This window comes from Homo sapiens, chromosome 8 (genome assembly GCF_000001405.40).
Source record: "Homo sapiens chromosome 8, GRCh38.p14 Primary Assembly".
Lineage (NCBI taxonomy): Eukaryota > Metazoa > Chordata > Mammalia > Primates > Hominidae > Homo > Homo sapiens.
The window spans coordinates 3,443,829-3,470,609 of NC_000008.11; the positions used below are offsets into that span (position 1 = coordinate 3,443,829).

Consider the following 26,781-nt stretch of genomic DNA (forward strand, 5'->3'; position numbering starts at 1 on the left):
CAGCACTACTGATGCATATGGAAATGTTGGTATTGCTTTCAAATTTTTCACGTCTGTGTTGTAAGATACAGCAACTGAGAAATTATGAGATATTCTAATTCCACCTTTATCAGAGTTACTGAGAGCGGGGACACTGGGTGAGGAAAGGACTACAGATATACAATGGAAGACATGAGAAAAAACCTTGCAGTGCTGAATGTGAATCAGGCGTATCAGCATGAAATCTTGTCTCTTTGTTCTATACACACACACACGCACATACACACTCACTCCCTATCGAGTGAAAGGGCCCAGAAAGAACAAGAAATCAAGCAGTGATTAATATTGTAAGTGTCCAGATCATAATGTTGAAATATCATTTGCCATTCAAGGAAGCCAAGAATCACTGGGCTGGATGACTAATTTCAGGTTTGAAGCAGAAATTACACAAGATAAATTTGGAATGGTTTATCCCACTGGATGGCAAAGAAGCTATCATCGACTCAGGAGTCAAGAACACACTAAAAGGCAAAATTAGCACAATTTTAGCATCAACAAAGATAATACATTCCATAGATTGAAAATCATCAGACTGTTTTAAATTCATGAGTTCTTTCCTAACAATACAAAACAATAAAAGAAATTACTGTAGAGCAGTAGTGCTCAACCAGTAGAACTTTTGCTACCATCTTCTCTCCCCTCATTGGGACATTTGGCAATGTCTGGAGGCATTGGTATTTGCACACTGAGGGTGAGGATGCTACTGGTATCTGGTGGGTCAAGGCCAATGATGCTCCTAAAAACCTACAGTCACAGGACCGTCCCTGCCTTAACACCCAAACAAAAGTATGCAGTGGAAATGGTGATAGGCCTGAGGCTGAGGAGGCTATGAAAACTTCCTATTCTGAATGTAATATATAAATGTAATGTAATAAACTGAAAAGGCCACATTTATCCTGTCTTGCCTATCAACTTTGCCACCAGACAACCAAATAATATGCTTCTTTTATAGGAGAACCTCAGCAAGTAAATACAAAAAGAAGCAACAGAATCAGAATACTATCGATTTGTGGCATTTAGTCAATAAACACAGCTGGTCAGTGCACGTCAGTCACCCCGTCTCCTGATGGGAGAAAACACCACTAGCTATGAAGTCCTCATGTCAGAAAAACTCAAACTCGAACCTGTCCAAGCCTCTTTATCCAGTGCCAAGTCACAGAAACTTTCTTAAACACTCTGGAGATGCAATCGGCAAAATGTCTACTATGGCAAATTCAACAGGGAAAAAGAAAAACAGAAAATAGGAGCAACATATAAACTAATATACTTACAACCTACATCAAACAATCACAATCATAACACAGTACACTTTTAATAATTCTTTTATCACCTCATCATGAAGGAAAAGGAAGCCATTTTCAGTAGTCTGGGTTACGTTCTCTGGGTTTCACTGGTGGAAGAAGAAGTTATAATTTTGGGGACGTCACTAAGGTAAGGGTACTAATATATCCTGGGTACCTATCACATTCTGCAGATTGACGTGTATACATATATGTTACCATCTTATTTTCACAAACACTCAAGAGGCAGATATGACTGTGCCTACTTGCAGATAGTTCTCAGAAAGAGAAAGTGAATTACAAAGTGAGGTCAACTTAAACACACAGCTCGAGCAGATGGAACCAAGCCTCTATAGCTGCAATGTGCACAACTCTTTTCATTACACATTTTTTTTTAATAGAACAGACTTCTTATGAAAGTGCGGATGATGAATCAGTGCATCACAGACCACAATAAAGAAGGCCAGAAGAGAGGCCATTCACTTGGGAGACAGCTGTAATAACCAAGGTAGAAATACGTCGGAACTAGAGGGGACGAGAGGAAACAAGGCCATGTAGCAAATGAGGAGTTCTGATTTATTCGAATAAAGTCCACAAGAACAAGAACAAAGCCATGTAAACAGTAAGAGGATAAAACTTTGAGAAAAGACAAAACATAACACCCAAAGGCAACTGAGGGATTATATCCTTGAAAGAAAGAGTATAATTCAAGATGGTATGTTATAGAAATAGCAAAAGCGTAAAATTGAGATCTATCATCTTGACTCCAAAGAAGATTGTACAGAGAGACAGAGAGGCAACGATGAAATGACTGCTTGTTCTGGGCACAACAGAGGGAGAAGGGAATGTAATGGAAAGTCAAAAATACTGTCCCGGGCCCGGATTGATAATTACATTTTTGACAAGAAGGTGAACAGTCTGGAAAGATAACAGTAAAGTTGAAATGGACTAAAAACTAATTTGAGAAGTTTGTTGTAATAGAATTGACTGCAAGAAAGGAAATTGCCATGGCCCCAGGGAGAAAAAGAAAAGAGGATGAGGGAGAAAAAAATCGTGAATGCACTTTCTGAAGCACTCCTAGTCCTTGGAAGAGGGACAGACTCTCAGAAATCGGAAACGTGTGCTGCATGGGCTATTGTAAAATTAGTTTTCTTTACCTTTTCAGATCATTTTCCATCAGGCAAGTCACAAATTTACATAGACTGTTTGCAAAATACACAAATGTAAATATGGCTTTCAACTGAGGATCTGTCCTCTCTGTTTTAATACAATGTATCCTGACAAAAACTCAGTTATGATTCCTACTTTGTAGATAATGAAACTGATGATCAGAGAATTAATTACTGAGTAGTTCATGGTCATGCTAGAAACAAAAAGCAAACTCAAGGATAGAGTGCAGGTAGTGACAGGATAAACCACAGCTTCCTCTCCACGGGTAAACAGATTCTCCTAACAAAGGTTTCACTCTGTGTAGACAAAAGAAACGCTGTTTGGGGAATCTAGTTAGGAAAAAAATCTGGTAAAAAGTAAAAGGTAAATAGGAACACATGCCATTCTTGAAAACTATTTTACTTATAAAGTGCAAAAATGCATAGGATGAGGTTATCTAGACTTCGGAATCCTGACGTCGATGAAATGGAACCTGTTGGAAATATAAATATGTATGGGTGGTGCTCAAGTTATTATTTTTGACTTCTAGCTGGTTTCATTAGCATTTCTTTTTCTAACTTTAAGAACTTGTAAGAGAAATTAAAGCACTAATTGAGTTGGGGGAAGAAAGGAAATAATTAGCATGTTGTCTGCTCACACATAGTGACTTGTTAACAAAGGAGTTGAAGATGTAAAGAATAAAGGAATTGGTGAAATGTTATTTCATTTTCAGGAAGACAGAAAATTCTTAATAAAATTAAAACACAGCGTAACATCAGTTGTTATATTTTGAGTACCTCATTAATAAAAGGATTAAGAAAACATCAAAAGCACAACAGACATGATCAAAGAGCCACGGGCACTGATGAAAAGATGAAAAGAACTCTATGGCAAAGAAAAATGATGAACCAGCATGCGTCTGCATCTATCAAACACAAATTAACAGAAAATAGCAGCACACTTTTTTATGACACAATTTCAATAGAATTAAATATTTTAATGAAATAAAAATCCTAATTCAGTTTAGCAGTGGAGATCAGTAACTGAGTCTCAGAAAAAGGGAAAGGAATGAATAAAAGAAGAAAAAAAAAGATGGCTTAGGTTTTACCCAAAGATAAACCACTTTAGGAGGTATTTTTAGATAAAGTGGAAAATGAAAAGTATTTAGGGTAAGAGCGATGCATATTGCAGAGGAATGGGAAGTGCAGGCAGTGTACTTTGTGCGGCTGGTGTGGGACAGGTGGCACCCGGAACCACTGTTCACAGAGGGCGACAGGAAGGGTCAGAGGTTCCGTAGGATTAGCCCCTGCACATGTGATCATTTGGCTTCTTTTAAAGCAGTGTGTGCATTCTTTGCTGCTTTATTTCTCCTGGTTGGAAGGGCTCTGCTCCCACTTCCTGGGGGTTTGCTTCAGCCCTGTTGCAGGGATGGACAGGTCACTTGGAGTGGCCAGTCAGGTTCTCCGTGTTCCTGGATGTGGCAGTGGATGGAGGGTGCAGAATTGAGCAGGACCACTTGGGGCCATTTTTGGGTTTGAGATGGAGGCCATCGGAGGTGTCTTTACTCTTCGTTCCTCAAGGCCATGAACTGTAAGAGCAATGTAACCCCAGAGGAGCTGGAAGCTATTTTCTCTGTCATTTACAGACACCCCACATGGGACAGAGCCTCAAGAAAAGAAAGCAGAGCTGAGGAAATGAGAGTCCTGATACCACTGGGACCTCCTAACCCTGGATACAAACAAGCCTCTTGTGTCATACACAGGATTTCTAATAACAGAGATATAATCCTAAAAATAAGATAGAAGGGTAAGAGAATATTAGCATGATGCTGTCAATCCAAGTGAGGGATACAGGGAGCCTGAATTGGGGGAGTAGATAGTGAAGACAGAACAAATAAAAAGCCTGTCTGTGTTTCCTGATGGGGCCAACTCTCAAAAGGGAGAAGAGGATTGATCTCAAGACCATCCTTGGACAAAAGAGGGACACACATCTTTCTGAAACTGGTGGGAAGGAAGGAAGGAAGGAAGGGAGCAAGGGAGGGAGGGAGGGAGGAAGGAAGAAGGAAGAAGGGAGGAAGGGAGGGGGAGGAGGGAGGAGGAAGGGAAGGAAGGAAGGAAGGAAGGGAAGGAAGAAGGAGCAATGAAGATGACTGTGGAGGAGCAAAGAAGAGATGTTCTTGCTGTACAAAAAAGGTGACTTTTTCCCTGAAAACTTGGAGAGAGGCTGCTGTGGGTTTATTAATGAAGGTTTAAAGAAAAGTGAAGGTTTGTAGGAGTTGCTGTAAGTCCATGAGTACTAATAAAAGGACCACATGCCATGCAAAGGTGAGAGTGTGGGGCAAGGAGCGGGGCAGCATGAGTGGAGGCCAAGTGGGCATGACCCATGACCTTCAGGAACTGCAGCATCGAGAGTCCTCTAGGCTGAGCTCACTCCTGCACACCACAGAGGGATGCATTACAGAGAAAAGCTTTAGACACTTCAGGCAATAGTGAGTGACTTATTCTCAGTTATATGTCTAAATGACACAACTTCATGGATAATTGTCTCCACTCTCCACTAATTTTGGAAAACTTACGCAGGCATAATTCTATTCCAGAAGAAGCACCTCCCTATGTATGAATGAGCCACCTTCCCCCAAGAGTAAATGTAGGAAAGAAGGTGACAGCCAATCGCAATGGATGTAAACAATCACATATAAACAGAAATCAAACACGTATTAGTAGGAGGCAGAAAAGTTTACTTCAAAGGAAATGGGAAAGGATCACATGAAAACTTGTTGCCTGTCTTCCAATCCATGAGTTCTACACAGCACAAAGCAACATGCAAAGCACTTGTAATACACTTAATCTTTGAGTTTGCGTCTTGAAATTAGTTGGTGGGGGGAATCAGTTCTTAAATTATTTGCATCAAAATAGCATAAACCTGAAGAATTGTAGAGGGAAGTTAAAATTAAACAGGCTTATTCTGAAAAATATCTGAGAGACTAAACTCAGCTTCTTTGCTTTTAAAAATGTGAATCCAAATCAGCACAAACTCAATATAATCTTGTTTTCTCTACCCCTCTGTTATGTGACAATGTCTCATGGGTTGGCTTTGCCAAGTCAGAGGAAACCCCAGGCTCCCACCATGCCTAAGGATGTCCTGGACTCGGAAAGTGAATTTTTTCTTATGCTATATTTTCTCTGTGGTGAAGAACAAAATGAACATACCTCTCATGACAGCAATTTTTTTTTTTTTTAAGATGGAGTTTCTCTCTTGTTGCCCAGGCTGGAGTGCAATGGCACAATATTGGCTCACTGCAAACTCTGCCTCTTGGGTTCAAGCAATACTCCTGCCTCAGCCTCCCAAGTAGCTGAGATTACAGGTGACTGCAACCATGCCTGGCTAATTTTTGTATTTTTAGTAGAGACAGGGTTTCACCATGTTGGTCAGGCCTGTCTCAAACTCTTGACCTCAGGTGATCCTCCCACCTTGGCCTCCCAAAGTGCCAGCATTACAGGCATGAGCCACTGCACCTAGCCGAGAGCAACATTTATATCCATATAAATTCATGTAAAGTTTTAAGCCTCACGTTGTAAAGTTTCTAATTATTTCAGACATTTAAACATTAGGACATTTAAGAAAAACTATTGCTCCAGTCTTAAGACTCACACAGCTTGCCATAATCAAGCGTTTTAAAGTGGAAAAGCCAGACGGGAGAGAGGGTCACCAGCTCCTCCTCATCGATGTGGTCCTCAGGAGCCTCTCCTTCCCTGGTTGAGACACATACGAAATTCGGAAAATCATCTGGTTTGCTGACTGTTTCACTTTCATGTATGTGTCCTGCACATCAGGATTTGCTTCGATGACGAACGTTGACTGTGGGTCTCTTACACTCAGGCGGCCTCCAGCCTCTGATAAGATGGGCCTTAACATCTCCGTTGACCAACTGACTTCATGGTCTTTCTCTGTCATGACCTAATCAGGAGTTTCAGATCTTCCTACCCATACACATGGTTGCATACAAGCCTCTCCTATTTTTTTTTTTATTATGCTTTCAGTTTTAGGGTACATGTTCACAACGTGCAGGTTTGTTACATATGTATACATGTGCCATGTTGGTGTGCTGCACCCATTAACTCGTCATTTAGCATTAGGTATATCTCCTAAAGCTATCCCTCCCCCCTCCCCACACCCCACAACAGGCCCTGGTGTGTGATGTTCCCCTTCCTGTGTCCATGTGTTCTCATTGTTCAATTCCCACCTATCAATGAGAACATGCAGTGTTTGTTTTTTTTTTGTCTTTGTGATAGTTTCCTGAGAATCATGGTTTCCAGCTTCATCCATGTCCCTATAAAGGACATGAACTCATCATTTTTCATGGCTGCGTAGTATTCCATGGTGTATATGTGCCGCATTTTCTTAATCCAGTCTATCATTGTTGGACATTTGGGTTGGTTCCAAGTCTTTGCTATTGTGAATAGTGCCACAGTAAACATACGTGTGCATGTGTCTTTATAGCAGCATGATTTATAATCCTTTGGGTATATACCCAGTAATGGGATGGCTGGGTCAAATGGTAATTCTAGTTCTAGATCCCTGAGGAATCGCCACACTGACTTCCACAATGGTTGAACTAGTTTACAGTCTCACCAACAGTGTAAAAGTGTTCCTATTTCACCACATCCTCTCCAGCACCTGTTGTTTCCTGACTTTCTAATGACTGCCATTCTAACTGGTGTGAGATGGTGTCTCATTGTGGTTTTGATTTGCATTTCTCTGATGGCCAGTGATGACGAGCATTTTTTCACGTCTCTTTTGGCTGCATAAATGTCTTCTTTTGAGAAGTGTCTGTTCATATCCTTCGCCCACTTTTTGATGGGGTTGCTTGTTTTCTTCTTGTAAATTTGTTTGAGTTCATTGTAGATTCTGGATATTAGCCCTTTGTCAGATGAGTACATTGCAAAACATTTCTGCCACTCTGTAGGATGCCTGTTCACTCTGATGGTAGTTTCTTTTGCTGCACAGAAGCTCTTTAGTTTAATTAGATCCCATGTGTCAATTTTGGCTTTTGTTGCCATTGCTTTTGGTGTTTTAGACATGAAGTCCTTGCCCATGGCTATGTCCTGAATGGTATTGCCTAGGTGTTCTTCTAGGGTTTTTATGGTTTTAGGGCTAACATTTAAGTGTCCAATTCATCTTGAATTAATTTTTGTATAAGGTGTAAGGAAGGGATTCAGTTTCGTCTTTCTACATATAGCTAGCCAGTTTTCCCAGCACCATTTATTAAATAGGGAATCCTTTCCCCATTTCCTGTTTTTGTCAGGTTTGTCAAAGAGCAGATACTTGTAGATATATGGCATTATTTCTGAGGGCTCTGTTCTGTTCCATTGGTCTATATCTCTGTTTTGGAACCAGTACCATGCTGTTTTGGTTACGGTAGCCTTGTAATATAGTTTGAAGTCAGGTAGCATGACGCCTCCAGCTTTGTTCTTTTGGCTTAGGATTGACTTGTCGATGCGGGCTCTTTTTTGGTTCCATATGAACTTTAAAGTAGTTTTTTCCAATTACGTGAAGAAAGTCATTGGTAGCTTGATGGGGATGGCATTGAATCTATAAATTACCTTGGGCAGTATGGCCATTTTCACGACATTGATTCTTCCTACCCATGAACATGGAATGTTCTTCCATTTGTTTGTCTCCTCTTTTATTTCATTGAGCAGTGGTTTGTAGTTCTCCTCGAAGAGGTCCTTCACATCCCTTGTAAGTTGGATTCCTAGGTATTTTATTCTCTTTGAAGCAATTGTGAATGGGAGTTCACTCATGATTTGGCTCTCTGTTTGTCTGTTATTGTTTTATAAGAATGCTTGTGATTTTTGCACACTGATTTTGTATCCTGAGACTTTGCTAAAGTTGCTTATCAGCTTAAGGAGATTTTGGGCTGAGACAATGGGGTTTTCTAAATATACAATCATGTCATCTGGAAAAAGGGACAATTTGACTTCCTCTTTTCCTAATTGAATACCCTTTATTTCCTTCTCCTGCCTGATTGCCCTGGCCAGAACATCCAACTCTATGTTGAATAGCAGTGGTGAGAGAGGGCACTCCTGTCTTGTGCCAGTTTTGAAAGGGAATGCTTCCAGTTTTTGCCCCTTCAGTATGATATTGGCTGTGGGTTTGTCATAGATAGGTTTTATTATTTTGACATACATCCCATCAATACCTAATTTACTGAGAGTTTTTAGCATGAAGTGTTGTTGAATTTTGTCAAAGGCCTTTTCTGCATCTATTGAGATAATCATGTGGTTTTTGTCATTGGTTCTGTTTATATGCTGGATTATGTTAATTGATTTGGGTATGTTGAATCAGCCTTGCATCCCAGGGATGAAACCCACTTGATCATGGTGGATAAGGTTTTTGATGTGCTTCTTGATTTGGTGTGCCAGTATTTTATTGAGGATTTTTGCATCGATGTTCATCAGGGATATTGGTCTAAAATTCTCTTTTTTTGTTGTGTCTCTGCCAGGCTTTGGTATCAGGATGATGTTGGCCTCATAAAATGAGTTAGGGAGGATTCCCTCTTTTTCTATTGATTGGAATAGTTTCAGAAGGAATGGTACCAGCTCCTCCTTGTATCTCTGGTAGAATTCGGCTGTGAATCCATCCGTTTCTGGACTTTTTTTGGTTGGTAAGCTATTAATTATTGCCTCTATTTCAGAGCCTGTTATTGGTCTATTCAGAGATTCAACTTCTTCCTGGTTTAGTCTTGGGAGAGTGTATGTGTCGAGGAATTTATCCATTTCTTCTAGATTTTCTAGTTCTTTTGCATAGAGGTGGTTATAGTATTCTCTGATGGTAGTTTGTATTTCCATGGGATTGGTGGTGATATCCCCTTCATTTTTTATTGCTTCTATTTGATTCTTTTCTCTTTTCTTCTTTATAGTCTTGCTAGCAGTCTATCAATTTTGTTGATCTTTTCAAAAAACCAGCTCCTGGATTCATTTTTTTTGAAGGGTTTTTTGTGTCTCTATTTCGTTCACTTCTGCTCTGATCTTAGTTATTTCTCACCTTCTGCTGGCTTTTGAATGTGTTTGCTCTTGCTTCTCTGGTTTTTTTAATTGTGATGTTAGGATGTCAATTTTAGATCTTGCCTGCTTTCTCTTGTGGGCATTTAGTGCTATAAATTTCCCTCTACACACTGCTTTGAATGTGTCCCAGAGATTCTGGTATGTTGTGTCTTTGTTCTCATTGGTTTCAAAGAACATCTTTATTTCTACCTTCATTTCGTTATGTACCAAGTAGTCATTGAGGAGCAGGTTGTTCAGTTTCCATGTAACTGAGTAGTTTTGAGAGACTTTCTTAATCCTGAATTGTAGTTTTATTGCACTGTGGTCTGAGAGACAGTTTGTTATAATTTCTGTACTTTTACATTTGCTGAGGAGAGCTTTACTTACAACTATGTGGTCAATTTTGGAATAGGTGTGGTATGGTGCTGAAAAGAATATATATTCTATTGATTTGGGGGGGATAGTTCTGTAGATGTCTATTAGATCTGCTTGGTGCAGAGCTGACTTCAATTCCTGGATATCCTTGTTAACTTTCTGTCTTGTTGAAATGTCTGATGTTGACAGTAGGGTGTTAAAGTCTCCCATTATTATTGTGTGGGACTCTAAGTCTCTTTGTAGGTCTCTAAGGACTTGCTTTATGAATCTGGGTGCTCCTGTATTGGGTGCATATATATTTAGGATAGTTAGCTCTTCTTGTTGAATTGATCCCTTTACCATTATGTAATGGCCTTCTTTGTCTCTTTTGATCTTTGTTGGTTTAAAGTCTGTTTTATCAGAGACTAGGATTGCAACCCCTGCCTTTTTTTGTTTTCCATTTGCTTGGTAGATCTTTCTCCACCTCTTTATTTTGAGCCTATGTGTGTCTCTGCACGTTAGATGGGTCTCCTGAATATAGCACACTGATGGGTCTTGACTCTTTATCCAATTTGCCAGTCTGTGTCTTTTAATTGGAGCATTTGGCCCATTTACATTTAAGGTTAATATTGTTATGTGTGAATTTGATTCAGTTATTATGATGTTAGCTGGTTATTTTGCTTGTTAGTTGAGGCAGTTTCTTCCTAGCATCAATGGTCTTCACAATTTGGCATGTTTTTGCAGTGGCTGGTACCGGTTGTTCCTTTCCATGTTTTGTGCTTCCTTCAGGAGCTCTTTTAGGGCAGGACTGGTGGTGACAGAATCTCTCAGCATTTGCTTGTCTGTAAAGGATTTTATTTCTCCTTCACTTAAGAAACTTAGTTTGGCTGGATATGAAATTCTGGACTGAAACTTGTTTTCTTTAGGAATGTTGAATATTGGCCCCCACTCTCTTCTGGCTTGTAGAGTTTCTGCGGAGAGATCAGCTGTTAGTCTGATGGGCTTCCCCTTGTGGGTAACCCGACCTTTCTCTCTGCCTGCCCTTTAAATTTTTTCTTCATCTCTACTTTGCTGAATCTGACAATTATGTGTCTTTGAGTTGCTCTTCTCGAGGAGTATCTTTGTGGCATTCTCTGTATTTCCTGAATTTGAATGTTGGCCTGCCTGGCTAGATTGGGGAAGTTCTCCTGGATAACATCCTGCAGAGTGTTTTCCAACTTGGTTCCATTCTCCCCGTCACTTTCAGGTACACCAATCAGATGTAGATTTGGTCTTTTCACATAGTCCCATATTTCTTGGAGGCTTTGTTTGTTTCTTTTTATTCTTTTTTCTCTAAACTTCTCCTCTCGCTTCATTTCATTCATTTGATCTTCCATCACTGATACCCTTTCTTTCTATCGATCGAATCGGCTACTGAGGCTTGTGCATTCATCAGGTAGTTCTCCTGCCATGGTTTTCAGTTCCATTAGGTCCTTTAAGGACTTCTCTGCATTGGTTATTCTAGTTAGCCAGTCGTCTAATTTTTTTTCAAGGTTTTTAACTTCTTTGCCATGGGTTCAAACTTCCTCCTTTAGCTCGGAGTAGTGTGATCATCTGAAGCCTTCTTCTCTCAACTCATCAAAGTCATTCTCTGTCCAACGTTGCTCCATTGCTGGTGAGGAGCTGCTTTCCTTTGGAGGAGGAGAGGCACTCTGATTTTTAGAGTCTCCAGTTTTTCTGCTCTGTTTTTTCCCCATCTTTGTGGTTTTATCTTCCTTTGGTCTTTGATGATGGTGATGTACAGATGGGGTTTTGGTGTGGATGTCCTTTCTGTTTGTTAGTTTTCCTTCTAACAGTCAGGACCCTCAGCTGCAGGTCTGTTGGAATTTGCTGGAGGTCCACTCCAGACCTTGTGTGCCTGGGTATCAGCAGCAGAGGCTGCAGAACAGTGGATATTGCTGAACAGCAAATGCTGCTGCCTGATCCTTCCTCTGGAAATTTTGTCTCAGAGGAGTACCTGGCCATCTGAGGTGTCAGACTGCCCCTACTGGGGATGCGTCCCAGTTACGCTACTCAGGGGTCAGGGACCCACTTGAGGAGGCAGTCTGTCTGTTCTCAGATCTCAAGCTGCATGCTGGGAGAACCACTACTCTCTTCAAAGATGTCAGACAGGGACATTTAAGTCTGCAGAGGTTTCTGCTGTCTTTTGTTTGGCTATGCCCTGCCCCCAGAGGTGGAGTCTACAGAGGCAGGCAGGCCTCCTTGAGCTGAGGTGGGCTCCACCCAGTTCGAGCTTCCGGGCTGCTTTGTTTACCTACTCAAGCCTGGGCAATGGTGGGTGCCCCTCCCCCAGCCTCGCCGCCGCCTTGCTATTTGATCTGAGACTGCTGTCTCAGCAATGAGCAAGCCTTCATGGGCGTAGGACCCTCAAAGCCAGGTGCAGGATATAATCTCCTGGTGTGCCATTTGCTAAGACCTTTAGAAAAGCACAGTATTAGGGTGGGAGTGACCCAATTTTCCAGGTGCCGTCTGTCACCCCTTTCTTTGACTAGGAAAGGGAATTCCCTGACCGCTTGCTCTTCATAGGTGGGGCGATGCCTTGCCCTGCTTCAGCTCATGCTTTGTGTGCTGCACCCACTGTCCGACACTCCCCAGTGACATGAACGAGGTACCTCAGTTAGAAATGCAGAAATCACCCACCTTCTGCATCCCTCACGCTGGGAGCTGTAGACTGGAGCTGTTCCTCTTTGGCCATCTTGGCTCCACCCCTTACTCTCCTATTTTCTAATACAATTTAGAAAATGCATAACACTGAAGGCCTTGTGAATGATGTCACCATGTGCTTTGTGGTTATCTAAGTTGGCGCAGTTTTTCACTTAGCATCATTGCATTACTTCCTACTATGCCAAAACCTAGTTGCGTTCTCTCCTATCCTATTTAGCATTGAAATAGTCCTAGTGGACGTGTTTCAGTATCAGAGGTGGCAATCACATCTTCAGCTTGCTAATCATTCCAGGAATGAGCTTCCCATAAAGACGAAATATTTGGAGCTGTTGATTTCTCTCTTTCAGAAGTGGGAGGAAAGCCTGCAGATGACCCATCCCCATTGCCCATTATAGATGAGGCTACTAAAGGCCAGGGGTATTCAGAACAAACTGGATGCAGAACTGAAACCCGAGCCCAGGTCTCTTGGCTAAGCTCTAGCACTGCACTATCCTGCCCCCCTTGTATTCTACACTTCATGCTGGAGCCCTCCTGCTGCACTGTCTCACCCTACACACCCTCATCCTGCACTTCCTCATCCCATAGCCCCTCATTTTGTACTCCTTCCCTTGCACATCTCATCCTGGACCCCTTCACCTGTACCCCTCATTCTGTACTCCTCACCTGTATCCCTCATTCTGCACCTCTCTTCCTGGACCCCTCCCTCTGAATCCCTCACCCAGGCCTCTCCTCCCGTACTCGTCACTGAACACCTCATCCTGTACCTCTCTTCCTGGACTCCTCATCGTGGACTCCTAACCTGGACCCCCTCATCCTGCCCTCCTCACTGCACCTCTCATCCTGGACTCGTGAACCTGTTTCCCTTGCCCTGTACCCCTCATCTTCACCCCTCATCCTACACTCCCTGACCTTCAGCTCACATCACAACCTTTTTGCCAAAGTCTGAAGCTGCCTAACTTCTTCAGTTTCTCTCATTCTCAGTCTCAGATGGCACAAACTTTCTTTCTGCTCACTCCCTTTCCCAAGAGAAAAGCAGAAGAAACGGAGCTCCACATGCTCACATGTTAAAGCAAGAGGTGATCTAAAAGAAACGCATTGGAGCTGAGTCATCAAAACCGCATGCCACGCCTGGCCGTTCCTGGCTTAGAGGCAAGAGGATATGTACGCGGTTTAAAAAACACAGGATGAATTTCAAGAATAGAATAGTCCCATCTATAACTTTTAAATCAGTAATGCAAAATATCATCCATTTCTAAGACAACACAATTCAGAAATTTTAACAAAGACTCTTGTTGAGATCATAAAAACTCGTAAAGGAAACAGAAATACCAAAGAAAAATAATAAAGGTAATGAGAAAATTGAAAGCAACAAATTCCAATTGAAAGGAAAAAACCTGTTTGTAAAAGTGGGTCCTTGTTGTATCCGATGCAGGGATCCCAGTGGTAAAGATGTGGGAGAATGTTATCACATTCACACACTCATGGAACACATGAGAAATGAGGAAGGCAGCCATATGGCTGGAAAAAAATAGGAAGCTCATTCCAATTACAGAGCCTAAAATATCACCTAGAAGTACACCTTGTTAATTTCACAAGCTCTTTCATAATTCGCAAATATCATTATCAGAACTTTCATTCTTACCTGAGACTAAAATACAGATTGGAGAACGTCTCCCAGGAAGTTTGCTCTAACGTGAGCCCCGCAGCGCTTAACCTCCGTGTCATTTCCACTACATCTTATCTCAGTTTACTTTGACATGTAATCTGTGAGGATACATGTTGGGAAGGGAGAGTGCAATGTAGCTGGAGCTAACGGGCCACTAACACTGGAATTTAAATGTCAAATTTCTGCGTTAGAATTTAATGTTCTCCGGCACCACCTGCTCTCCTGGCTCATATGTGCTGATATATTTAAATATTTAATAATGGCTTATCTCACATTATTAAGAGGAATCTGTGCTTATAATTCATTCATGCAATATAACTCAGAAAAAAATGGAAATCAAGAGTCAATGGGTCTTCTGATATTTTTCTTAAAGTTAAGACTGTCCTGAATGTCAGCATATCTTCATACAAACTCTCCAACCCTGTCAACAAAAAAGGGTGATGACTGGAAACTCAATATCTTTCTAATATATAGTTTGTTGTTATTACTTGTTTGTTTTAATATCGTTTCAGTAAAATCCTATGTTCATCTTATTCGTCTTGCGTTAAGACAACGGAACGCTAGTTGGCCTAGCTGGTAATTCACCTAAAGAAAACAATAGCAACAATGAACACATATAATCTATTAATTTCAGCTTCAAACACTTAATTATTAATATATTTGGTTTGTAAATGGCTCTTAATATCTTTGGTTACTAAATGGCTCACCAAGATGAAGACATTGTGTGCTCTGCAATGGTCTGGAGAAACAGGATTGAATAAAATGGGGCTCTTTCTCAAGGACTCGAGGACACACAAAACACTCTAGGAAAACTGTTACCTTAGCTAAAAAGGAGCTGCTGCTGGTAGCCACAGGGAAACATTGGAAGGAATTTCCATCCCAGTGAGCTGTCCAGGAGAGAGGTGCAGCTCTCAAGCTGGGCCTTGGGGAAGGGAAGGGTTGTTTCCTACCCGCAAGGGTAGGAAGGACCCGCCCGGAGAGAAGGGAAGCGGCATGAGCGCCAGTGTGGGGGAGAACGATGGATGGGCACAGGATGGCAAGCACACAGCATGCTACACTGTGCTACAGCACCCTGTGGCTCTTGAGAGGACACGTGATCTGGAAGAGGGGCAGAAATTCAGTGACTTGCTCTGTGGTGGCTGCACCGTGGTGGGGCACACGGGAGCCACAGGTGCACGAAGAGGCTGACTCATGGACCAGAGTGAGCAGGGTGAGGCGAGGAGAGACAGGCCGGTGTGTCCCTCACCCTGCTGGCTGACGTGGGGCACAGGGTACACAACACAGCGGCCGTAATATGACGGGAATCGCACGGTGGATCCTTCTCATACAACTTCCTTGCAATGCAGCACCAGTGCCACAGGAATATGCACTTTTAAGCCCACCCTGACCTGAATCTCCGTCTATGAAGACCCCTGGGTGATCTCCACGCATGCGGCAGTCGGAGACACGGATGAGAGCAGAGAACATGATAAATGCAGGTACATGGGAGATCTGTGCAGAAATGCATCCCTTTGCCAACAGGGGAATTCAACCAATAGCAGCAGAGCACCCACCACTGAAGGGTAACTCCCGGACGGTCCAGGGGAGGTGGACTCAGAGAACCAGAGAGGGCACCGGATATACTTCAGGAATTGGGTTCCGAAAGGTCATCATTCAGGGACCCAAGCACTCAAGAATGAGGCTGCCGGCACATGAACAGATTTGGGTCCAGGAATCAGAGCAGCATCAACAACCAGAAACAGTCTGTGTTGACTCATTGGCTACTGGGCTATAATTCCTCAAACGTATAAAAACTCAACTAAGACTTAAAAAAAAACTGGAGTGGTCCTAAGATTATTGATAAGGGTTAAATGGCCCATGATAATGCTACAAAAATCTAAACAGTCCAGAAACTGGCTAAGACACTCACTCACATTTTGCACATCTCTAAGGATGCAGCTATACAACCTGCAGCTTCTGCACAGCTGCACAGGTGTGGGGCATAAAGAGGTCCTTGCATTCCCAGAGCTTCTGTCTCCTGGGAAGAAAGGCAATTAAACAATTGTTGGGATGGAGGCAGCTCAGGGTGGTATAGGATTGTGTAGCAGCAAATCACATAATCTAGGATGTGAGGCTTATTGGGGAAAGTAAACTCTGAGATGAGACGGGAAGATCAGCAAATGATCTACATGGTGAGTCCATAGAAGAATGATCCTTGTTGGGGAGATACGTGTGCAAAGGTAAAAGAGAGGAAAAAAGGAAGATTTGAAGATCAGGAAGTTCCATGGGACAAACATCAAGTGTATGTGAGTGGTGGTGAGAGATGAAGATGGAATCTGGAAACCACTTTACAGAATATTCTGTGGACCCTGGGAAGGCTCCAACCAATTTGAAACAGTGTAGGAACACTCTCTATGTTCATTTTTTTAAAAAAGATAATTCTGACTGGACCCCTGTGTGTGAGCAAAATAGAAGAGTTTAGTAGCGGGGAGAAATGAAGTTTCGACCACTACAGAGGCCGCCTAGAGGGGACACTGTGGAAGCCGACTAAGGGTAAGAGAATGAAGATAAACAGGAGGGATGGGATAGAAGGATATTTACTAGACGGAACTGACCGAAATTCGTGGAGAAAAAGAGAACAGGATCATAAACCACCAATGTCGCTAAGAAGAAATAACACAAAAACAATAATTATAAATCTGTTGTCCAAATTCTCAAAGAATATAGGGAGATTATTTTCCCCGGCTGCTAGACAATGATGCCGCACTCTGGGTAAGAACAGACAATGCTGTGATGTGAGTCCCAGGTCAGGAAGCTTGTTCTAGAAGCAAAGAGCTAAGCACCAGGAAGGCAGACATGACCACTTGTGGTCCCAAGAATAGAAGGGCTAGTTTTGTTTCAAGGGATGTGGAGGGCAGTAACAATAAGTTTGTTCTTTAGCATATTAAATGGAATGGCAGTCCTCAGGAAAGCCCGTTGAGAGGATATTTGAATTTACAGCACATGAGTTCATGTGACACGACTCTTTCCCTTGCATGGGCCTCACCGCAGACTCAGGTCCCACCATCAGATGCGGCCCTCATCGCTCTGCGGAACTGAGGCTGCTAGAGAGGGCTCATAGCTGCACACCTCTCAGGGAAGTGCTCAAACAAAGGCCTTAATTTAGAATAAAGAAGAAGATGCAAGGGCTACTGACCCCGAGACCTGGCATTCCTGCCACAGACTGCAAGTCCAGAAGGCTTTTGCTGGATAGAATGAGGGAATGCGCTTCTGAAGGCATGGCTGAGGAGCCAGCTTGGAGAGTATGCTGGGAAGGATGTGCTGCTGTCCTCTGGATGTGGTCTTCACCCTAAATCCACGGCCATAATGCTGTGTCAGTCCCCAGAGGCTGGAATACATGGGGCCAGGAACTGAGGAGGGGAAGCAGGAGTAGCTGTCTCACCTCCACCCCAGGAGCTGATTGAGATCTCTGCTCCCCGATCTCTCAAATTAGGCAATGTGGTTGTAGAGAACCTGCTTCTCAGAGGGGAGCTGTCTCCATCAGCAGGAAGAGGAAGGGCCCCATGAAACTGTAAGCTATCCCTGTGGCCCAGCATCTTCCAGATCCTCATGCCCAAGGCCTCACCAGTAATGGAAGCAGCCATCATCCTTGCAGGAGGACTGGCCCTAATCAGGAGAAAAAGCTGGGGCCATTGTCCCCAATGAGACAATACAGATGAGTGGGACGATTTATCCATGGGGACTCTCTTACGTGTGATAGAACACGGACAAGTCTAGCAGCCACACCTGAGCAGTGCACTGTGAGCAGAGACCGAGGCCCTGTGAGGACTTGGGTCAGCATCGCCCTGCTGCAGAAGCCAACTAGCCCAGCTGAGAGGCCAGCTAAGGAGGCAGATCCTCACATGGGCCGGACAGGAGGGTGGCGGTGAGGTGAGTGTGTGTTACACGTGTTCCTAGGAAACGAGGCCAGTCAGAATCCTAGAGAAGCTGTTTCCAGATGGAGAATACTGACCAGTGCTAGTGCTGGGCTGTATTTGATCCCAAGGGCACCATTTGGGTGCTCTCTTCAGAATCCAGGCCCCCCCCCCCACCTCCCAGCTGCTCGGGACCCACACTGCATTTCTTTTCAGGAATCATCCCAAGCAGTGTTCTGGTCCCTCCCTGGGGGCCACCCATGTCAATGGTCAATGGCACCAAGCCTGGCCCAATTGCTTCAGTTTGGAAGACTATACAGTGCCATCCTAGCTCCAGACCTCCCTGTAGCATCATTTAAGGCAAGGGTTCCCAACCCCCAGGCCAGGGACCAGTACTCGTCCATGGCCTGCTAGGAACTGGGCCACACAGCAGGAGGTGAGCAGCAGGCAACGGAGCATTACCACCTGAGCTCTGCCTCCCAGCAGATCAGCAGCAACATTACATTCTCCTAGGAGTGTGAACCCTATTGTGAACTGCACATGCGAGGGATCTAGGCTGCATGCCCTTTATGAGAATCTAATACCTGATGATCTGTCACTGTCTCCCATCACCCAGATGGGACTGTCTAGTTGCAGGAAAACAAGCTCAGGGCTCCCAATGATTCTACATTATGGAGAGTTGTATAATTATTTTATTACACATTACATTGTAATAATAGAAATAAAGTGCACAGTAAATGCAATGCACTTCAGTCACCCTGAAATCATCACCTCTCCCAGTCCATGGAAAAACTGTCTACCTTAAAACCGGTCCCTTGTGCCAAAAAGGCTGGGGACTCTTATCTAAGAACCTGATGTGGTCTGACTGTTTGTGTCCCTCCAAATTCCTAAGTTGAAACCTAACCTCAAATTTGATGGTTTTCAGAGATGGGCCAGCCTTTAGAGCGTGATGACATGATGAGGGTGGAGCCCCTGTGAACAGGATTAGTGCCCTTGTGAAGGATGTCCAGGCTTGTGGCCTTGCGCTGTCCACCACGTGAGGACACAGTGAGAAGGCGCCATCTATGAACCAGGAAACGGTCCTCACCAGACACCAAATCTGCCACTGCCTTGATCGTGGACTTCCCAGAACTGTGAGAGATACAATTCCATTGTCGCCAAGCCAACTCTATCTCCATATTCTGTTACGGCAACCTGAATGAACTAACTGTGCACCTGTCGTGACTGGGCACTGTTCAACCTCTCCCTCCACCCAACTCCACTTCCTTCTCTGCCTTACAGACGATTCCAAGCACACTCCCAATACCTCCTGCTACACAAGTCACCAACTCAGGCTCTGCTTCCAAGAAAAAGGATAATTTGTCATAGACTTAAGTCAAGCCCTTGGAAAAAAATGTTAAATCCACCTTAGATATAAGGCTGTATGTGCTGTGAAAAAGGAGGTACACATTATAAACGCTTTGTGACAGTCAACTGAGCATTCCCACAACATGTAAACAAAAGGTTATTTGAAGCCACGTCCTGCAGCTTCACCTTCTCTTTAGGGTTTTAGAAGTCACTACTATTCTGGCAGGCACTGTCTTGTCTGACTATGAATAGCGTATTGGCTTCATGCTCACAAGGACAGGGGCATGAGCTCACTTTCTACAAGGACCAGTGAGCTGTCCTCGGTTCAGGGACAGCACCCTGTGCCGTCATTGCACTTGGACGCTGTTCAATGTGCATAATTGCTCACCTAGAGAAGACGGGCGAGACTGGGCTGGGTAACTCATGCCAGTACAACCACGCAAGACGAGAAGCACCTTCAAGATTACATAACATCAATGCTGTCTCAAAAGTTCCGTCTGCCAAGAATGGTAAAGATGCTGGTTTTTGAACCATCTCCTACATTCCTGTATTCAGTACAACACACAGCCTCACTTCCCCCATACACCCTAGGAGCACAGACCCTTGGCCACAGACTGAGATGCCTACACAAATTTCCATTCTCTTATTATCACTGTATTCATCGGACGAAGGAGACAATTCCGTTTCTTGTATGAAATGGTGATGCTGAAGTCAAATAATTTTACTGGAATCACTCTTAGTATTAGCCCAAAATAGGTCTTGTTTTGACTATACAGCAGCACATCACAGGAAACAGTTCCTTTAATTCACCCCCTGCTGGAATGTAAATAGCTACGGCAAATTACATGAAACATGATTTCTGGAGATGCAGTTCATCAACTAGTGTGATGAACTCGAACCGAATTTTTTTTTGTAACCAAAAATGCTTCAGAGTCAACTCACTTTACTATAGACAGAGAAGCCATAAAAACGTGGGACCACTACAATAGCAAACATGTAATTGCTTATAAAAATATCCAGGGATCAAGTTTGCTTCTTGTTAACTTCCTCATGGCTAGAAGCTGCAGTGGTTATGAGGGAACCCAACTTTCAATTGAGCATAGGGATTTTTCTTTATTTTCTGTGGACTAACAATCAGTTGCTATGAGATATATATTTTATTTTCAAATATAAAATGGAGAAACTATGCCCCGGACTCACATTATCTTTTCTTATATAGTATTCTGAGATTTACTATTTATATGGATTCTATCTATTATAAATATGATTTATAAATATATAAATAAATGATTTTTAAGTATATAAATTATACAATTATATATAGGTAGAATCTATATATATAGCAAATTTATATATAAATTGTATATGTAAAATTTGTTTTAAAAATATATACTAGTCATATAGAGTTTGCTTATGAATGGTCAGTGTTGCTTTATATGGCTCTATCATAATTAATTTACATCCTGCTTCTTAGCATTTGGGCTTTTGAACAGATTATTTTTAATTCAGTATTTTCATTTGTAAAATGGTTTTAAACAAAGCTTACCTCTCTCCCATTACTTTCTGACACTTAACATGATCTCCCTCAAGAGCTCTCTTTGTTTTTTAAACTTTGCATTTTTTTCCCCATAATTTGCTTAGGGGAAATTATCAATTCACACTCTCTCTCTCTCGTTCTGTGTATAATAGCTATAGATAATACACATGCTCATAAGTATGAACAGGCTTATATACTAGGGAATATGTATAACACATACTGTATAACATACACATGCCAACTGAAGTCTAGCAAGAGCGTTTGTTTCTGTGAATTGTTCTTCTGTGTTTGCTGCTGGGGCCTCACCAGCAGGGATCCCTGTTGTTTTTCAGTCTCTGAGCTCCTCCCTGCCTATCCTCCACTCACTGTGATTTTCAGGGGATGCACAGGCCCTGGTTTTCATTTCTCCACCCTACTTGCTTTCTGAAAAATGCTCCTAAAAGGGTCCATTAACTGAGTAGACCCTCCAGGCATCTTGAGGGGATGGAGGAGAGAGGATTGTCTTTGGGGAGTTAGAGACAGCACAAATGGAGAAATCTCACATATGCCCAAGCCTACGAGCCCGGGAATGATGGAGGCCACAGGTGGGTAGAGTGGACCCAAGGTCCTCCTGGTCCACGTGTCCTGAGGCAGCCCCCTCACCATTACTGTGTGTGCTGGCAGGGGGTAGTGGGGGTGCCAGGAAAGCATCCTCCAGGGAGATTTTCTCAGAGACAACAGTGCCCAAGGTAGCAGAGACCGTGAACATCTTAGGGTTAGAAGTGTGATCCGAAGATTTGAGGGTCCCCGAAATATTTTACACTACTCAGGCTATTCCTGATTTCTTGTCAAGGTTGGAGTAGGTAGGTCAGTAAGGGTTGACATGGGTGGCCTTTGGTAATGAGTGAGGTTACAATGATAGCTACTTTCTTAGGATGGAGTCTCAGAAATTCAAGTCGATGTTAAAATAAGATGATGTGGCATTTCTTGCATAGCAGTTTGTCTAGGGTTTGTAGTCTGAGGGACTGACTGTGACTCCAGGTATGAGAGGGCACACACTGAAAATTTCTGGGGAAACTATGAGAAAATGTCGAGAGCTGTTGCCTCAGAGGAAGTTAACTGGCTCAGCTAGAAGCTGGAGAGAAGGGGTGCTTACAATTCATCTAAACACCCCTCAGTTGGGTTTACATGTCTTACTGTGCACACTATTATTTATATAATGAAAACATCATGTTTGTAGAAAAAATCTCAAAATTAAAATGAAAATGCAAACAGAAATAAGAGCTCGCATTTCTTAAGTTCTTACTCCATGTGTTATGAGCCTTACATGTTTTACTCAGTTGATTTTTCAATAAAATTATGAAGCAGTTGTGATTACTAGGACTTTTTTTTTTAATGACGAGTCTGATACACAAAGGGTTTAAATAACTTACACTAAGGTTCAGTTACTGGGCAGCAGAACCAGTATTCAGGGGAGTACAGCTCCAGAGCCTGTGTTCCTAACACTAGATGTTAGTGAAAATCAGGCAACATCAAAACGTAGAACATTTAACTCTATGTGAATATATGCTGTATATATTTTCTGATAATTTTTTTTTCTTTTTTTAAGATGGAGTCTCACTCTGTTGCCTAGGCTGGAGTGCAGTGGCACGATCTTGGCTCACTGCAAGCTCCACTACCCGGGTTCAAGCGATTCTTCTGCCCCAGCCTCCTGTGTATCTGGGATTACAGGTACCCACCCTCCACAATCAGCTAATTTTTTTTTTTTTTTTTTTTTTGTATTCTGAGGAGAGATAGGGGTTTCACCATGTTGGCCAGGCTGGTCTGGAACTCCTGACCTTAAGTGATCCGCCTGCCTTGGTCTCCCAAAGCACTATGATTAAAGGTGTCAGCCCCCCTGCCCGGGCTGTTTTCTGATAATATAATTTATGAATAACTTTGCTTTGAGTCAAATAATATAAAATTATGTATACGCATAAAGGTCACTTTTATAAGTGATTTGCACTTTGTCTTCAACTGTTAGCTTAATATAGTACTCTGGAAATATGCATTTTTAGAATGTCTTCTACTGTTATAATCTCTTAATTTTTTAAAATCCTCAAATGTTGTATTGGTTAATGGTTTTAATTACCTTTTTGCCTTTGGACTATTCTTTTGTCAAAGATAACACATGACATTGAATTGGCCATCTCTCAAGGACTGATGGCCATTCACGTTTTTATGACATCTCATGAAAAGCCATCTCAGGGTGGCTACTGAGACTCTTACCACAGCACTAATTAGGGTAAAATGTAATTATAATTAATGTGGTGTGGTCATTCACTGTGAAATATGACACATAGAAGAATGTTTACCTTTTATTGGGACTACTTATGTCTCTTCATAGTCAAGGATGCAGTTTGGGCACGAGGTTCCTCTCCTATTCCTGGTACCATAAACCTCATGATGTGTATCTCAATGCTGCTGAGATGAATTTACTGCAATTTGCCCTGTTGGGAAGTGTCTGGTATTTCACTGATGATTTCAGATTCTACCAAAGGCAGCAGCAAATGCAGGTCATGTGGAAAATATGATATCTCCACCATACTTTCCTGAATAACTGCACAGTCACATAAAAGTTCAATTGAAGGTCAGGTCTAAAAATTCAAACGTCAGGAGGTATTCAGCAGTTGCCTCTGCATTCTAGTTTTAGTCATTGAAAGGGATGTAAATATACATTTTTTGTCGTAGTATTTCTTATTCACAAGGGTCATTAAGTCCCCAACACACCCCGTGTGTCAGCAAGGAGGGACCCTATTTTATGCTTTGTAGATGAGGATACTCCGGGGTGGGCCCACACACCAAGAGACCCTTTAATATTGTGACCCTTTATCCCACACAGAGAGAGAGAGCAGCCAAGGTGTGGCGTGTTCACTCACATGGACTCATGACAATGTCCCTTACCATGCTTGTTGATTTAGGATTGGTGGATGCTTTTTTATTATCTCCTTCATTGATTTCATGGGTAATAACTTCTTGTTACATTTTTCAGCTCCTAAAACTATTCCTATGGTATACACTTGGGAAATAAGAACATACTGCCTATTTACTCAAATTCAAAAAGTAGAATAAAATACAGTTCCAACAGCTCCAGATAAATATTCTCATTTTTACCTAAACACATACACATCTATCGGTTCAAATACTTTAAGGAACTCAGTTACCAATGAAGGAACCAATAAGATATTTTAAAAACTATTTCAAAGGAGAATCCAAAGATCACAACTATATAGACAATCAGAAATACTGAAATAAACTTGCTAATCCATTTAAAAGTAATCAATATCCACAGGACAATAATTAATGGGATCTTTTTCACAGGAAATTCATTTGCATTTCAATGGTTCAGAAATTGTTTGCATTGCTATCAGTTTTCTATAACTTGTAAAGTTGTAAACTAGCTCAAAAACAATGACAGGCACAGGGCTTTCATTTCAAATATTTGAATTTGGCTCATAAAAATTTATAATTGTAAGTATTTTCAGATTCACTATATTGTCTTTTCTATGTTTGCTCACATAAAAGAAGGTTTTCAGAGACACCAGCCAATATGATATGGTCAAAAGATCCCCACATATGCCCACACTTCCTAGCTTACACCTAATACTTCACCTCACTCTTTATTTTGGGATAATCAGAGCACATATCATGGCAAGCCGAGTTTTCAGAAGTTAAACATTCTCATTCACGAAAGCGAGTGTTAGTAGACTTTAAGGAAGTTCCCGTCATGATTCCTATTTATCAGCATTGTTTGACTTGTTGATTTTACTTCTACCTAACCAACACAGAATGCTCTCTGCCCTCTCTTGGAATGCTAACTTCCAACCCTGTGAAGTGTAATCTCATCATACCTTGGTAAACAGCTTTAAACCCAGGTGAGCCAATGCTATCATCCGACTGCAGATGTAGCCACATCTGGTTGCTCATGCTCACAATGAGGTCAGGAACACTGGATCCCGTGAGCCTGCAAGAAAGAGAAATGTCAAAGCTTTTAGGTAAGGCAACAAGTACATCGACTTCCACCTGAAAGGAGGGTCTTGCTGCTTTAAACAGCCAAACCCTAGATATATAGGTAGCAAGACCCTCTTTCAAAGACTGTACAGCCTCTGGTCCATTATATTAATATTCAAACATCACTATCACTGGTGCTTTACAGAAATTACTCTATTCTATGGCTGCCAATTCGTGAATTTTCTTTTAAAAAATCAATTTAGGGCAATCAACCATCCCATTTTCCTGGAACCGAGAGGCTTCCCCAGGTGCAGGAATTACAATGTTACAACTGGGACAGTCCTGGAAAAAATATGGCACAGTTGTTCATGTGAGGTGACTAGAGATGTGCACAGTTGCTGTAGGATTGCACAACACCAGCCATGAAAGACAAAGCATCTCTATCACAACAAATTGTATGGGTTCATTCACAAAAGGTTTTCATTGTCTAGAACTAGTATGTAACTTTATCACAAACTCTCCTTTTAAAATATATTATAGGTAATTATACATTAAGAGAATTTTGAAAAGAACAACATGCATAGCTGAAATAGATTTGGCAGCATTTATTGAACACTCCCCCCGCATATTAATGTCTGGGTCACACCAAATGTGAGTTTCAATGAAGCATTCATTGTGCATTAACAAAACAGTCACATAGGGGCTGCTGTCAGCCAGTGAAAAGAAACACTAAATCCATTGATTGAACTCAACATGCTGACAGAAAAGCATGTTGAAATAGAAAAAGTGTAAGAAGAAAATCAATTCAACCAAAACAAATGTCCCTAATCAAATAGGAAGCTTGACTTTCAGCAAAGTAGTTTCAGGAATATGAGCATATGATTTGCCCCATCAATCATATCATCTGTCTATCAACCCTACATCCTCACCTTAGGCAGTACAGAGCACCGGATTCTTCAAAGGAAGAAGAACAACTGTCATTATATGTGAAGTAACTCATGCAATGTTACACACAAATTGAAAAGAGGAAACTATTTCTGTGAATGCTGTGTGGTTAACTAAATATGTATTTCTTTCTGAAGATTTGTCTTCGTTGGCAACATTGTTCTTTTTCATTTGCTTGTTTTGTTGGCTTGTTTGAAGAGAGATTTTTTTCTTTCTTTCTTATTCATACATTTATTGAAGTGTAACAAGCCAAAAAGCGCACAGATCGTGAATGTCTAACTCTATGAATTTTTACAAAGTGAACCGCCACACAGATCAACACTTAGACAATTACCAACACCCCAAAGCCTTCTTGTACCTTCTCCCAGTCACCATCCTCTCCTCCCATCTTGCCAAACTATCAGTTTTACATCTTCTTTAAAGTTTTTTTGTAAATGAAATCATACTATATATAACATTTTGTTCAACATGATTTTGGTGAAATGTATTCATGTTATTGTTTGTAGTATTGTTTCATTTACTTCAATTTCTACATAGAATTTATAGTGTATAAACACAAGTAGGGGATGATTAACATTTCTAAATTCTTGAAATTTTTATTAAGATAATTGTGGATACACATGTGGTAGGTAGTACAAAATAATATAAAGAGATTACATGTATTATTTACCTAGTTTCCCCGAGTGGTAACATCTTGCAAAACTATAACAATCAGGACATTGACATGGATACAACCTACCAGCCTCGTTAAAACTTTCCCTGTTTTATTCGTATTTTGTATGTACATTTGTGCATGTAGCTCTGCACAAATACGTCACATGTCTCGGCTCCTGAATCCACCGCCATAGTCAAT

The 26,781-nt window shown here is 41.8% G+C and overlaps 1 protein-coding gene across 3 annotated transcripts in view; it reads right to left on the bottom strand.

Annotated features, from left to right (window-relative positions):
- CSMD1 (CUB and Sushi multiple domains 1) overlaps positions 1 to 26,781 on the bottom strand; it is a 2,059,554-nt gene that overhangs the window by 508,468 nt on the left and 1,524,305 nt on the right. For all 3 annotated transcript variants that reach the window (XM_011534752.3, NM_033225.6, XM_017013731.2), the window contains exon 12: positions 24,884 to 24,996. In XM_011534752.3, the coding sequence (XP_011533054.1) occupies positions 24,884 to 24,996 (113 nt within the window). The remainder of the gene's footprint in view (positions 1 to 24,883; positions 24,997 to 26,781) is intronic.